This window comes from Homo sapiens, assembly GCF_000001405.40.
Source record: "Homo sapiens chromosome 15 unlocalized genomic scaffold, GRCh38.p14 Primary Assembly HSCHR15_RANDOM_CTG1".
In the NCBI taxonomy this organism is placed as follows: Eukaryota; Metazoa; Chordata; class Mammalia; order Primates; family Hominidae; genus Homo; species Homo sapiens.
The window spans coordinates 429,424-444,717 of NT_187382.1; the positions used below are offsets into that span (position 1 = coordinate 429,424).

General features: G+C 46.4%; 1 protein-coding gene and 1 long non-coding RNA gene across 2 annotated transcripts; one reads left to right on the forward strand and one right to left on the reverse strand.

Annotated features, from left to right (window-relative positions):
- The first annotated feature begins 7,788 nt into the window (after window positions 1-7,788).
- Window positions 7,789-11,532, forward strand: LOC107987381 (uncharacterized). Its single transcript, XR_001756137.2, has 3 exons — window positions 7,789-7,976; window positions 8,062-8,347; window positions 10,923-11,532. It is a non-coding gene; the product is annotated as an uncharacterized LOC107987381 (long non-coding RNA).
- Window positions 11,533-14,416: 2,884 nt separating this feature from the next.
- Window positions 14,417-15,094, reverse strand: LOC102723573 (40S ribosomal protein S8-like). The gene has a single exon (XM_047442800.1). The coding sequence runs from the start codon at window positions 15,092-15,094 to the stop codon at window positions 14,543-14,545; it is 552 nt and encodes a 183-aa protein (XP_047298756.1). The 3' UTR covers window positions 14,417-14,542.
- Between the last annotated feature and the right edge of the window lie 200 nt (window positions 15,095-15,294).

Below are 15,294 nucleotides of genomic sequence, written 5' to 3' on the forward strand. Positions count from 1 at the left end.
AATGAGCTATGCTCACGGAATGCTCACAGTCAAATCCTGCTGGGAGGGCCATCCTCTGCTCGGGTTCTCTACTGTCCAGGGCAGGAATGACTCATGTGGCCATTCAGAGGCGAGGCCCCACCAGGAAGCATCCACTGACTGCCCAAGGCTGTGCATCCCCATAGCGCTGAGCTCATGTCCCTGACCTGTGGCCTCTGGGCCCACACTCTGCTCAAAGTTCCCTCAGGGGGATGAAGGGAGAGGCGGGCCCTAGGGCAAGGGTGCCCAGGAGGAGAGAAGGAAAAGGCAAGCATGTCTTCATCAGTGGGGTTTTCTCCTGAGAGCAGAATTCATTTCCACACCTTCCAAGTTCCCTCTTGTGGCTGGCACTTCTCTGACCTGGAGCCCCAGATGGCGGGGCACTCAGAAGAGGGAGGGTCATTCCTGGGAGCAGATAAGGCCTCCTCCTTCTCCAGCTCCTGAATCAGAAACTGAGGCCTCCCCTGGACCTTCCCTGCTTATGACTGAGGCCTCCCACGTGCAAAGCACACCTTCATCTTGCACTGAAGTCTCAGGACCTGGAGAGCACCTCCACACGGGGGGCTGGATCCTCCTGGAACTGTAAGCCTTGCCCAGAAAGCCCTGAAGGGGAGCAGGGAGGCGGCAGCAGCACAGCCTTCTTCAGCTTCCAGGGGAAGGGATGAGGGAGGCGGGTGGACGAGCTTCCAACCGGCATGGCATGGGATGCTGAAAAACGCGATGGGCTCTGGCCTATTGGAGCCATCTCTCCTTGTCCTGTACCTGCCCCTTGGGGGTTTAGGGCAGAGGAAATGTTGGCTTGTTGTGTGAGTCAGATAAACAGGTGGGGAGAATGGGCCCGTATGCCCTGGTTTGCACAGGAAAGGTGTGCTCACCAGCAAGTGTTTCTTCTAGAAATTAAGTAATCCTGGGACAGGCTTTTCCTCCCCAGTTCCACAAGACTCCAAGATGTCAGAGTATCATAAACACGGAGAATAAGGACACAGGATTAACCCAACCCAACCTCTGATGGTTTCATGTCATGTGAAGGAATTTTTGGAGTGTTGATGCTGAAGAGTTTACAGAGTGTGGCTACATCAGTTGCCCTAAAGGATATAGAAAACATTTTACTGTGAGAGTAGAGAGGAGGAACACAAGTAGAAGTATCAAGAGTCGCTGCCAGCCAGCCCATAAATAGGTTTCCCATTTGTATGACAGCCAAGAAACCTGGTCTGAGACAGCTGGGGTCGCAAACAATGTCTTGGTGCAGTTATAAATTTCTTTATGCATGTATTTTTCTAACAATAATATTTTGGTGTCTTTCTTGGGTCAAGGTGGCAGGTCCTCTAGTCACATTGTTGGAGTGCATGGATGGATGGGTTAGTAAATTATTTCTCAAGATTAGTGGTAATCAAAAGGTGGAAGTGTTGGTGGTGGTCGTAGTTCAGAGATGCGGGTTGGGAGTGGGAAAAGTTACTGGGGAGTGGGTGGTTCTCTCCTCATGGTGTCAAAGGGTTGATGGATATGAGGCAGGTTCCTTTGTGTGCAGCAATGACCTCTGCTGATTTTCAGACTGACAGAGATGGTAGTAACCACTATCAGATTTCTCTGTATGAACAGAAATGTAGTGTAGCATGTTGTGGCAAACAGCAAGGAGTGCACTGGGATCCTGGACCAAATGGACAGCAAGCTCAGGGAGCACAATAGGATCCCTAGTATCCAAGGGACAAAAGCAAGGCATGTCCAATGCCTTATTGTTTCATTGAGAGACTTCCCAGGCCATGACTGGTGTTAAGGTTTAGGGCACAACTGTCTCCAGCTCGCCGGGGAAAAGCCAAAGCCACCTCCAGCTTTGAGCCCTGGGCCAGGCCGATGTGCTCTAGGATGGGGTACTAGGGTGTCCTTTCCAGGTGGGCATGTGCTCAAGCGGACTGACTGGCTATCAGCACTTGCCGTGTTTGGTTGAAGTGATGGCCTATTTGGAGGTTTCTGCCCTTTGGATTATAACAAATAAGTCCACAATACAAGCAGCCACATGGACAATGGTGAGACCAGCAGTCAACAGAGGGGTGCTTGGCTGCAGTTGGCAGGTGTTGATGTTGTTTTCATTTGTTTTTTGAGTTTGTTTTTGTGGAACTTTACGTTCAAATGGGCTCATATCAGATGAGCAGCCGACTGACCCACGGGACCCTCTATGGCTAATCATCCGAGGAGAGTTTTTACCCTCAATAGGTTCTCCAGCCCTTATGAGATAAGAGCAACATCAAACATTTGTAAAGATATGGAAATAATATTTTAAATAGCCTCAATAATGCAATGAATATAAGCCTATAAGTATCTCAAAGGGTGATGGAGAAGTCCTGAAAGCTGGGATGAGGGCGACTCAGCTAAGAGCCTTGAATTTAGGGAGAGTTAGTTCTACAGAAGTTGGAGATCCATTGGGTGTCCATTTACTGGAGTGGAATTTGAAGGAATTGTTTGAGGAGATCAGTATGTCTCTGAGTTAAACCAGCCCATAATTAAGTTCTATTGAATGGGGCCTAAGAGGCATGAAGTTCTATCAAGTGGCTTTTTCTGTATCCAGCATTGTGTGTTTTGAAAAGTAAAATGTGTGACTTGGTTACTGTCAGCAAAGTATGCAATTTTGAAGGACATTAGTGTCCCACCAAAGCCTCGTATTGTGAACTTATTATGTGCAGAGATATGAGCCACTTGATTTATATTTTCAGTGTCTGGGAGGCAAGAGACTTTCAGATTTCCTTACCCTGAAGACAGCTCTTAAACAACGTCTGAGCTGTTTATAATAAATGTGGAAATGGAGCCATTGGTTCGATAGGGCACCCAATGCTGGTGTGACTGCCTGATGTCTGCCTAATTTTGGGGATCCCCAGCCCCATCCTTTGTTGGGACATATGGCCAAGAGAGGGAGAGCAGAAGCATGCCCCAAGCCCCATCACTTGTCATCCTTGCAGCCCGCAAATGCCAGTCACTGTCCACTCAGTGAGTCCCAGCGTTCTTCCCATGTGGCCGAGAGGTGGCCTCCTCCAGCACTTGGGCACCTGCCAGGTGACTGTGGATATAGGAAGCCAGTCCTGCTGCAAGCAGAAATGACAGAGGGCCTGGGTGTTGCTTTATCCTGTCTTAAGAAGGCCTCTGGAGCCATGCTAAGTGTGTGGGGTGCTGTTCCCGTGACCCCAAACACAATAGTTAGCTGGATGTGTCCAAATAGTCCAGGTTGTAGACAGCAATGTTCAGTTGAATGATTTATAGTCCAAGGCCAAAGGGAGCAGTTACTTGCCTTGGAAACTGTCGAGCATCTTAAGGCCACATTGATCGCCCAGAGACACCAGGAGGCATGAGAAGGGTTTGCCAAGTTTCTTTAGTGAAGGAGTTTCTGAGGATACTAACAGAAGAGCCTGTTGATTTTAAATTAGGCACACTGTTGAGCCTTTTGTTGAAGGAAATTTCATTTAGGGGAGGTGATTTATAAGTAGCAACAACAGCGAGGCTAGTTGAAATTTATGGGTGAGGAATATGTTGCACCAGAACCCACAAGGAACAGCAGGATGTGGCATTTGTATGTCCTTAATGAAAGTATGGGGAGCATCTCCTCAGAGGAGGTGTCAGCAGTGCTGCGGAGGAAGGCAGATGCAGTGAGGAGCCAGCCTGCGAAGCTCTCATGTGGTGGCCACGCCGCTGAGGTGCCCGCGTATCCTGAGAAGGGTGTCCTTCCCAGGCAAAGACAATCTGCAGCTAAGGGGCTGCTGAGATGGGCGCTGAGTACAACCAATTAGACACATCTGGAAGAGCAAAGTCTGCACTGGCTGTTGGTTAAAGCCAGTCGTTTTGAGAACATTGGGAGTATGGGGCCCTAATGGGTGGGGCCACGGCATGAAAGTTGTGACAATCCAACATAGGGCAACCTTCATGCTATTGTCTTTTCTTCTTCACCGGTTTAAGAACAGGCAAGATTTGGCTGTGAAATAGAGAAGCAATGGGAAAAATCACCTCTTTATTGATTAGATTTGTATAATAGTTTTTAATCTTCGAAGGTCCATTTTCACTTCTGTTGGAATATATTAACTACATAAACTGGAACTCTTTGAGTTCCATTTTATCAAGCCAATGCACAAGTGCCAAACACCTCATTCCATTTTAATTTAATTCATTGTGTCAGAGTGTATGCCCAATATGAGATATTTTAGGACAAAGGACATTATGATCATGTGAAATCTAGGCAAGGCAACCGCTAAAGTGCGGTGTGTCTATTTCTTCTTCCAAATATATTGATTTCTATTTAATTATCTTAAGTTCACATGGGATACATGTTTAAATCTTGAAATCTAATGAATTTCCTAGGTATAGCTATTATTGGAGCCCTGGTATTGATCACAAAGTTTGCCAATTGGTGCAATCCCAAAAATGCTAAAGTGAAATTACAATGGACCAGTATACAGTTCCAAGGTCAGAGTCTGGAAGGCGTTTCACAGAACTAAAGACTTGAGCACCAGCCATGCTGCTTCCTTCTAGAGTTATCTGGGAGAATCTATCTCTTGCCTTTGCCAGCTCCTAGGGGCGCCTGCGTTCCCCGGCTGGTGGCTGTGTGACTGACCTCCGCTTCCATCCCACACCTCCCCAGTCTTGGACTCTGCTGCTCCTCTTTCTCCTCATCAGGACCCCAGGGCATATGGCATGCACAGGCCAGGGTGACTGTAACATCCAAGGGCCTCTATCACGTCAGCCCAGTCCCTTTGGCCCTGCAGGTGATGTCTTTGTAGAGCCCCAGGACTATGGCATGGGCATCTTTGGGGGGCATTCTTCTGCCTGCTGCAGGATCTAGATTCCCCTCTCTAGAACCTGTAGTGTAGAGGGGCACGAAGCCAACCAGCTTCATTTTCAATTTTTGTCTTAGAAGTTATTTCAGTACAGAATTTTGTATATAAACTTTGGATTTCTAATTGGTCAAATGATGGACATTTATTTAAATTTAGTTATATATATACATTATATATACCAAAGTGATATATAATTATATAAATAATTATAATACTGTTATAATTATATAAATAATTATAATACTGTCATAATTATATTAGAAATATACTATTATAATTTTATAATAATTACATTTATATAAAATATCTATATGTAGTTTCATGATTATTTAGTTCCTTTTCATTTTTGGAACCTATGCTAATATTTCCCCTCTATTGCTCCTCTTTCCCTAAGGTCTCGAGTTCCTCTGAGCCTGATGATGAGCCAGGACAGGAAGGGGCCTGGGCCTCCAGGCAGCAGCATCTCTCCAGGATGCCCCCAGCCACAGCATAAGGAATTCCTACACTTTTGTTATCTTAAACAAAACCTTCTAGAATTCCTTCTAACTCTAGGAGACTGAAATGTATTTTTCTTTCTTTCAACTGTCTCCTGTCTGTCCCTGACTCCCTCACTCCGTTTTTTAATGTTTGGCCATTTATCTCATGAGCTTACTAAAAATAAATTGTATACTCAGCAATGGATAACATAGAAGAAATGGATAAATTCCTAGATATGTACAATCTTCCAAGATTGAATCTTGAAAAAGTAGAAACAGAACTATTACTAGTAAAAGACTGAATCAGTAATCGAAAGCGAGCTTGGAACCACTTCCAAAAGTTTTTTTGTTTGTTTGTTTGTTTGTTTTTTGAGATGGAGTCTCGCTCTGTTGCCCAGGCTGGAGTGCATGGCATGATCTCTGCTCACTGCAAGCTCCACCTCTCAGGTTCACGCCATTCTCCTGCCTCAGCCTCCTGAGTAGCTGGGATGACAGGTGCCCACCACCATGCCCGGCTAATTTTTTGTATTTTTAGTAGAGATGGGGTTTCACCTTGTTAGCCAGGATGGTCTCGATCTCCAGACCTTGTGATCCACCCATCTCGACCTCCCAAAAGTTTTAAGATGAAGAAATACTTCTAAACTTATTTTATAAAGTCAGCATTGCCCTGAAATCAAAACCAGGCAAACACCAAATTAACATAAATTACAGACCACTCTTACTGAAACACAAAGATGCAAAAAGTACTCAACAAAATATTGGCAAATCAAACTGAACAGCACATTACAAGGATCATTTGCCATGATCCAGTGGAATGTCTCTCTGGAATATTGGGATGGTGCAACATCTAAACATCACTGAATCTGATGGACCACATTAACATAATGAAAGACTAAAATATTATCTCATCAGATGCATAAAAATCATTTGACAAATTTCAACATCTTTCCATGATAAAACCTCTTAACAAACTACAAATAAAGGGAAATTATCTGGACATATTGAAAGCCATATTTAAAAGCCCACAGTTAGCATCATAGCCAATGCTGAAACACTGAACAAGCTTCCACTTAGATGATGGAGAAGACAAGGATGCCCTATCTCACCAATTCTGTTCTACATAGTATTGTAAGTCCTAGTCAGAGAACTTAGGCAAGAAAAAGTTACTAAATCAGAAAGAGAGGAGTAAAGGTGTCACTGTTTACAGATGACATGTCTTGTATGTAGAAAATCCTAAAAATTGCCCCCCAAAATCAAAACAAAACCAAAACAAAACAGCTGTAAGTTGCTAATTTGTGTGTATAAAATTGGTGTTCTGCAAGATGAATAAGTTCTGGAGACTGGATGCACAGAATCCTGAGTCTAGATAACTTGACTGCACAGTACACTTAAAAATTTGCTGAGAGAGTGTATCTCATGGTAGGTATTCTTATCACAATACAAACTTTAAAAGTTGTATATGAGGACATTGGTACTGCTTTCATATTATTTATTATGAATGAATTTCCAAAAAAAGTGTTATCAGTAATGAGTTGAGGTAATGAGTAATTCATATACAGGAATAGCCTCAAGAGAACAAGAGGAAGAGATGCATTTAGAGTAGAAATCCTCACACTTTAGATGCATTTTAAATGTCTGGATAATGGAGTACTTAAAAAGGGATGTGTCTGTCTCTTCCCCCAACTATTGAGAATTAGTTCCTGAGTAAATCAAAGAACATTATTTTATCCAGCCCCGGTAGGTCCTGAGGTCCTTGTCTCTGGCATCACAGAATGGGTTAGAGTGCAGGGCTGGCGTAGAGCTCCTGAGACAGTAATGTGATGTTGTCCAAAGCTCCATGGGTGAGGAGAGCCACACCACAGGTGGGACCCAAGGAAAGAGCCCAGGAGCTGTGCTGGGCTCAGCACTGAGGAAGCAAGACCTGGGCCTGTGGATAGGGGGAGCTGCGCTAGAAACAAGGAAGGGCAGGAGGGAAGAGGGGTTGGAAGGAAAGTAGCCCTGGGATCAGAATGGCAGGGCTGTCCTTTGCCTATTCCCATTTGTCTCGCAGACCAAGTGTCCTCCAACCACCAAATGTCAAGTGACATGCGTGCCACATGAGTTTAGGAGGAAAGGCACTCTACACAACGCTCAACTACCAGGAGGTAGGGGCCATATCTTAACTTTTCTACTTATAAAAAGAGTCAGCTAGGCTGGGCACGGTGGCTCATGCCTATAATCCCAGCACTTTGGGAGGCCGAGGCAGACAGATCACATGAGGTCAGGAGTTTGAGACCAGCCTGGCTAAGTGACAAAACCCTGTCTCTACTAAAATTACAAAAATTAGTCAGGCATGCTGCTGGGCACCTGTAATCCCAGCTACTAGGGAGGCTGAGGCAGGAGAATCGCTTCAACCCGGGAGAAAGAGGTTGTAGTGAGCCGAGATTGCACCACCGCACTCCAGCCTGGGCGACAGAGCGAGACTCTGTCTCTAAATAAATAAATAAATAAATAGTCATCCACCCCGTGTAATTTTTTGTTTTAGCTCTGGGGTAAAATCCACCCCTGGGCTGTGGAAGCATCCAGTCACTTCTCAGACTGGGACGGTGTCTCTGGGGAAGACAAAGGTGGGTTCAGAAGAAGATGAGATTGCTGGGCCTTCTCCTGTGCCTGCTGACACCTCCCGAAGGTGAGCATCTCAGAGGCCAGACACGGGCTGTGGCAATAACTGTGATGTCCCATGACTGACAGGGACTGACTGTTCTTGTTCCCAGCTGTCCTGTCCCAGGTGCAGCAGCAGGAGTGAGGCTCAAGACTGGAGAAGCCGTGGCTGCCCCCTTCCTCACCTGGCACGACTCCGGATTCTCCATCACAGCCAGTGGTTACTGCGGAGGCCCGGTCCACCGGCCCCTAGACAAGGGGTTGCACTGGCTGAGGAGCATCGATTATAAGAGAAACACGAACAACCGCCGCCTCTCAAGAGCCTCATCTCCATCCAGAGACTCATCCAACAAGCAGCGCTCCCTGCGGCGGAGCTCCAGGAACCCACAGGACAGCCAGGTATTCCTGTGGGAGACACAGTGAGGGGATGCCGTGTGAACCCAGACAGGACCCTCCCTCCTGGGGGCCTGAGATGTGCAGGATGCACTCGACACTTGGGTCCACTGAAGAGCAGGCTCAGATGGGAAGTGGCGAGGACTTCTCCTTAGAATCTGAGGCTTTCTTTTCTCTAATTCTCAGATGTCCTCAGGGACATTTCATTCTCTTCTCTGTGGCTCTGATTTCCCCCTTTCTCACTGCAGGCAAAAAAGGATGAAATAACTTTCTCCACTGGCAGATAGGCTGTTTCAATTTCATAGAAACCTTCCCTTCATCCGGCTCCCACGTGGTCTGCTTTTTCCTTCATCTGCTTCCATGTGGTCTGCTTTCCTTCCTGAAAAACAGGTCATGTTCAGGATTCACACTTGCTCGAGAAATTCTTCCCTCAAACTCCAGTTCAGACCAGGCACACCCTCTCCCACATCTGTCCCCACGTGGACCCTTCCATGAGATGACCCCACCTGTCCCCAGGTGGACCCTTCCCTCAGACGAGCACACCTGTCCCCAGGTGGACCCTTCCCTCAAACAAGCACACCTGTCCCCACGTGGACCCTTCTCTGAGAGGAGCACACCTGTCCCCACGTGGATCCTTCCTTCAGATGAGCACATCTGTCCCCACGTGCACCCTTCCCTGAGACAAGGACACCTGTCCCCACGTGGATCCTTCCTTCAGATGAGCCCCCCTGTCCCCACGTGGACCCTTCCCTCAAATGAGTACACCTGTCCCCACGTAGACCCTTCTCTGAGAGAAGCACACATGTCCCCAAGTGGACCCTTCCCTGAGTCAAGCACACTTGTCCCCAGGTGGAACCTTCCTCCACACGAGCACACCTGTCCCCACGTGGACCCTTCCCTGAGACAAGCACACCTGTCCCCACGTGGACATTTCCCTCAGAGGGGCACACCTGTCCCCACGTGGACCCTTCCCTGAGACAAGAACACCTGTCCCCACATGGACCCTTCCCTTGGAGGAGCACACCTGTCCCCACGTGGACCCTTCCTTCAGACAAGCACACCTGTCTCCATGTGGACTCTTTGCTCAGAGGAGCACAGGTGTACCCATGTGGACCCTTCCCTGAGACAAACACACCTGTCCCCACGTGGCCCCTTCCCTGAGATGAGCTCATCTGTCCTCTTCCCCAAGGCGAGCACACCTGTCCCCACGTGGACCTTTCCCTGAGACAAGCACACCTGTCCCCACATGGACCCTTCCCTCAGAGGAGCATAACTGTCCCCATGTGGACCCTTCCTTCAGATAAACTCACCTGTCACCACGTGGACCCTTCCCTCAGAGGAGCACACCAGTCCCCATGTGGACCCATCCTTCAGACAAGCTCACCTGTCCCCATGAACCCTTCCCTGAGACAAGCACACCTGTCCCTACATGGACCCTTCTCTCGGATGAGCACACCTGTCCCCATGTGGGCCCTTCCCTGAGACTACCACACCTGTCCCCACGTGGACCCTTCCTTGAGACAAGCACACCTGTCCCCACTTCGATGCTTCTCTCAGATAAGCACAACTCGCCCCACCTGGACCCCTCCCTGAGACGAACTCACCTGTCGCTACGTGGATTCTTGCCTTAGACAAGCACCTCTGTCCCCACGTGGACCCTTCCCTGAGGGAATCACACCTGTCCCCAGGTGGACCCTTACCTCAGACAAGCATGCCTGTCCCCAGGTCAATCCTTCCCTCAAAAGAGCACACCTGTCCACGTGAGGACCCTTCCTTGAGACAAGCACTCCTGTCCCCACATGGACCCTTCCCTCAGACGAGCTCACCTGTCCCCATGTGGACCCTTCCCTGAGACAAGCACAGCTGTCTCCATGTGGAATCTTCCTTCAGACAAGCACACCTGTCCCCACATGGACCCTTCCCTCAGATGAGCTCACCTGTCCCCATGTGGACCCTTCCCTGAGACAAGCACGCCTGTCCCCATGTAGACCCTTCCTTCAGAGGAGCTCACCTGTGCTCAGACACCACCAGGGTCCTCAGACACTAATAGGGTGGCTCAGACACTAATAGGGTGGCTCAGACTCTAAGAGGGGGGCTCAGAAACCACCAGAAGGGCTCAGACACCACCAGAGGGCGCCCAGCAACCACGGAATGCTCAGAACCTACCGGGGGCGCTCAGGACCTACAGGGGTCGCTCAAGACCTGGCTCAGGAGCAGATGCAAAGTGAAGCTGAGGTTTCCGTTTTCTCTTTGGGGATTCCTTGTCCTGCCCTGCAAAAGCCTTGCTCAGCAGCTATTATTGTTTCTTCCCTGGAATTCCCCAGTTCCTCTCATCTGAAAAGGACTTAGAGCAGAAATCCCATTTAACTTTTCACACTTCATTTTCAGTCTCCTTCTAGTGATATTTCAGTAAAATATTAATAAGAAATAATGAAGCCACAGTCCAAATGTTAGCACCATGCAAAGATTCGTGTGTCTTCTCCACTCTGTCAGTTACGCCTTAGGAAACTCTTCTCTCAATCCACTGCTCAGTGTACACTATGGCATTGTGTTTTCTTCTTTGCTTTCATCTGCTTTGCAGGGAAATGAAGCACCATTTATTGGGACGTGTCCTCCATTTCTGATGGGCTCCCCGTGGTCTCCACCTCAGATGGTTTTGCCACCATCTTTAATCCGTTAATGCCTTCAATCGCCCTCACCATCCATGTAATGAAGCAATGAATGCCTTTACTTCATCTACTTGTGTCTCCATCAGTCAGTTCACTTCTCTCCATTCTCACAAAGGACAGCCACCCACTACTTCAGAGCCTCCTGCAGCCTTGGGTGGTAAACCTATTAAAAAGCCCCTGCTGTTTAGAAAGGGTGTGTATTGGAAACTTAATCCCAAATTCCATAGTGTCCAGAGGTGAGAATGTTAAGAAATGATTAGGCCGAGAGGGCTCTGCCCTCATGAAGCAATTAATGCCATTATCATCAGAGTAGGTTACTTATTGTGGTAGCAGATTAGTTACTACAGGCCTGGGTTCCTCATTAAAAAATGAGTTTAGCCCCCTTTCCATCCTTTGCACATGCTCTCCTGCCTTCCACATGGGCATCACAGCAAGAAGGCTCTTGCCAGATGCTAGCACCTTGACATTGACTTCCCAGCCTCTAGAGCTGGGAGAAAATAAATTTCTTTTCCTTACACATTAGCCAGTGTGTGGTATTCACTCATTGCACCACAAAGTGGACTAAGACAAAAAATCAGTATCAAGAGGTGGGGCTGTTGTGATAACAAATATCCCAAAATGTAGAAGTGGAAGTAGTAATGCACAGAGACTGGAATAATTTGGAGGATCAGGTTATAAAAAGTCTAGATTGCCATGACTAGAACACTAGGGGTATTCTTTTGAGGACTCAGAAGAAGACAGCTGTGAGGAAATTCTGAAACTTCTTAGAGATTATTTAGGTGATGATCATTAGAATGTTGGTAGAACCGTGGACAATAAAGGCCGTTCTGATGAGGTCTCAGGAGAAAAAGAAGAATAGCTCATCGGAAAATGGAGCAAAGGCCATCCTTCCCTTAAAGTGGCAAGGAATGTGGCTGAATTGTGCTCATCCCTAGGTCTTTCTGTAAAGTGGAAGTTCAGAGCCATGAGTGAGGATATATGGTGGGAGAAATTTGAAGCAAATCTATGGCCTCACTTCTAGCAGGCACTTTAGGACTCTGTTCCCTGTGTCCAGGCACAGCACTCCTTGGCTGCCCATGATGTGGCTCAGGAGGACCTAGGTGTGGCTCAAGCCATCACTTTAATGGTACAAGTCATCAACTTCCATGGCATCCATGTATTGCTAATTCTGCAGGTGTGCAGAATACCACGAGGGCATGGCTTTCTCCACCTAGATTTCAAAGAATGCTGTGGACAGCCTAAGGTCTCGGGCAGTGAGTTGTTGCAGAGACAGAGTCACCACAGTGGACCCTTAGCACAATGCCAAGCAGAAATATGGGTTTGGAGGCACCACAAAGAGTTTCCAGTCAGCCTAGGAGAGCTAGAGGCCTGAGAGTCCCACCTGTGAGAGGGGCTGAGTGGACTGAACCCAGAAAATCCATAGAGGCAAGACTGCTGGAGGCCTTGGGGGCCCTTCCCCCTCCCCAGTGTGCACAAGATGCCGTCAAAGAGGATGATTTTCCAGCTATAAGACTTTTTTTTATTATACTTTAAGTTTTAGGGTGCATGTGCACAATGTGCAGGTTAGTTACATATGTATACATGTGCCATGCTGGTGTGTGCACCCATTAACTCGTCATTTAGCATTAGGTATATCTCCTAAAGCTATCCCTCCCCCCTCACCCCACCCCACAACAGTCCCCCGAGTGTGATGTTCCCTTTCCTGTGTCCATGTGTTCTCATTGTTCAGTTCCCACCTATGAGTGAGAATATGCGGTGTTTGGTTTTTTGTTCTTGCGATAGTTTACTGAGAATGATGATTTCCAATTTCATCCATGTCCCTACAAAGGACATGAACTCATCATTTTTTATGGCTGCATAGTATTCCATGGTGTATATGTGCCACATTTTCTTAATCCAGTCTATCGTTGTTGGACATTTGGATTGGTTCCAAGTCTTTGCTATTGTGAATAGTGCTGCGATAAACATATGTGTGCATGTGTCTTTATAGCAGCATGATTTATAGTCCTTTGGGTATATACCCAGTAATGGGATGGCTGGGTCAAATGGTATTTCTAGTTCTAGATCCCTGAGGAATCACCACAAGGACTTCTACAATGGTTGAACTAGTTCAAAACCCAACAAGGGAAAAAAACATTAAGTCTCAGCTATAAGACTTAATGTTTTTTTCCTCTGTTGGGTTTTGAACTAGGCACTGCTTTCTCCTTCCCTGTCTCTGAGCTTTGGAATGGGAATTTCTATCCCATACCTGCCCCATTGTTCACTGTATTTGAAAGTAGATAACTTGTTTTGACTTTATAGGCTCACAGATGGAAAAAATTTATATCAGGCTAAATTGTGCCTTGAGTCACACTCACATCTGATTTAGATGAGACTTTAGACTTCAGACTTTTGCACTGATGCTGGATAAGACTTTGGAGACAATTGGGATGGAATGAATGTAGTTTGCATTGTGATAAGGACATAAATTTTGATATTAGGAATGGAATGCTATGACTTAAATGTGTCTCCCAAAGTTTAGGATTTGGAAAAAATCTTTAATGCAACAGTGTTGAGAGGTGGGACCTTTATTATGTGATTAGGTCATGAAGGCTCTGTCCTCATGAATGGATTAATGTCACTGTCATTGGAGTGGGTTAGTTATTACAGGAGTGAATTTCTAATAAAAGATAGTCTCCTTTCTCTCGTGGACAAATGATCTCTTGCTCACCCACCTCTGCTGTGAGACGACACAGTGAGAAGGCCCTTGTGAGATGTCAGTGCCTTGATATTAGACTTCTCTGACTCAAGCACCATAAAGTATAAATTCCTTTTCTTTAGAAATTGCCCAGTCTCTGGTATTCGGTTATAGTAACACAAAGACAGACTGAGACTAAGCCATTGTAACATGTGTGAGGTGATATCTCATCGTGGTTTTAATTTGCATTTCCCTGATGATTAGTGATGTTGAGCATTTGACTCTTTATGTTAAGTGAAATAAGCCAGGTATAAAAAATTACTCCATAATCTCACTTACACATGCAATCTAAAAATGTTGAACTCAGAGAAGTAGAGAGAAGAATGGTGCCAACCAGGGGCTGGTGTCAGGGGCATGTGAAAGCTGAGGCATTGGTGAAAGGGTACAGAGTTTTGGTTTGACAGAAGGAATTAGTTTGAAGATCTATTGCACAGCAGGGTGACTTCCATGGTACTAATGTACTATATACTTGAAAACTGATAATAGAGTAGATTTTACACGTTTACACCATAAAAAATAAGTATGTGAGGTGATGGGCATGTTTATTTACTTGATTTAATAATTTCACAATGCCTGCATATGTCAAAACATCACGTCATACCACCATAATATATGAAATAGAATATGTTTTTCTAGTAAGTGTGATGCCTCTGTTTCTCTTTTTTTTTTGGAACAAAACAATAAACACCTTTATTACATGGGTGAAGACAAAACAAGGATTTATTTGCCCTTCCGGGCCTTGATTTTCCTAAGATAGAACTCCAACTCTTTGCCCTCTAGCACATACCCATCTGCTCAGCCACACTGTCCTGGCCTTGAAGCAATGCATGCAAGAAGCTTGCCCTGCTGGAACTGCTCCCCCAGGAGACTGCTGATTTTGGCATTCTTTTTCCTTTCATGATATTTCTTCTGAATTTTTTTAGATCGCTTTTTGTTCAAAATCTCTTCTTCCTCAGGAGTCAGCTTGGCTCCCTTCTTGCAGCCCAGGGGCGGCGCATAGTGGGACTCGTACCACTGTCGGTACAGTGTGCTGTCAATGAGCACAATGCAATTCTTCACCAGGGTCTTGGGACGAACCAGCTCGTTATTAGATGCATTGTAGACAACATCGATGATCGTTGTTTTATGAGCACAACATTCTGAGCCCCAGGAGAAATTCCTCACGTCCAGCCTCAGGGCACAGTATTTCTTGTTACCTCCCCACACACGGACTGTGTGGATGCGGCGGGGGCCAGTCTTGGTGTTGGCAGCTGGGTGCCCCAACTCATACTTCCGCTTCTTGTGGTAGGGCTTTCTCTTGTCCCTGGTTTTGTGGCACTTGTGCCAGTTGTCCCAAGAGATGTCCATCGCTCGGCACTGGCTGGAAAGAGGGCCTCTGTTTCTTTAACAACAGTTTCTGGAGATTGTTTTTCCCTTGAACAATGTTTCCTCTCTGCTGTCTTTACACAGTTTTCCTTTCCCAAGGGTTGATTTAAGACAGTGACAATTTATCTATTCTGTATCTGGTAGTTTCATGGAGAAATTTAATGAATAGCCACTTGAAACCA

Excerpts from the sequence above, each read along its gene's own strand:
- LOC102723573 (XM_047442800.1), bottom strand. The coding sequence starts at position 15,094 with ATGGACATCTCTTGGGACAACTGGCACAAGTGCCACAAAACCAGGGAC.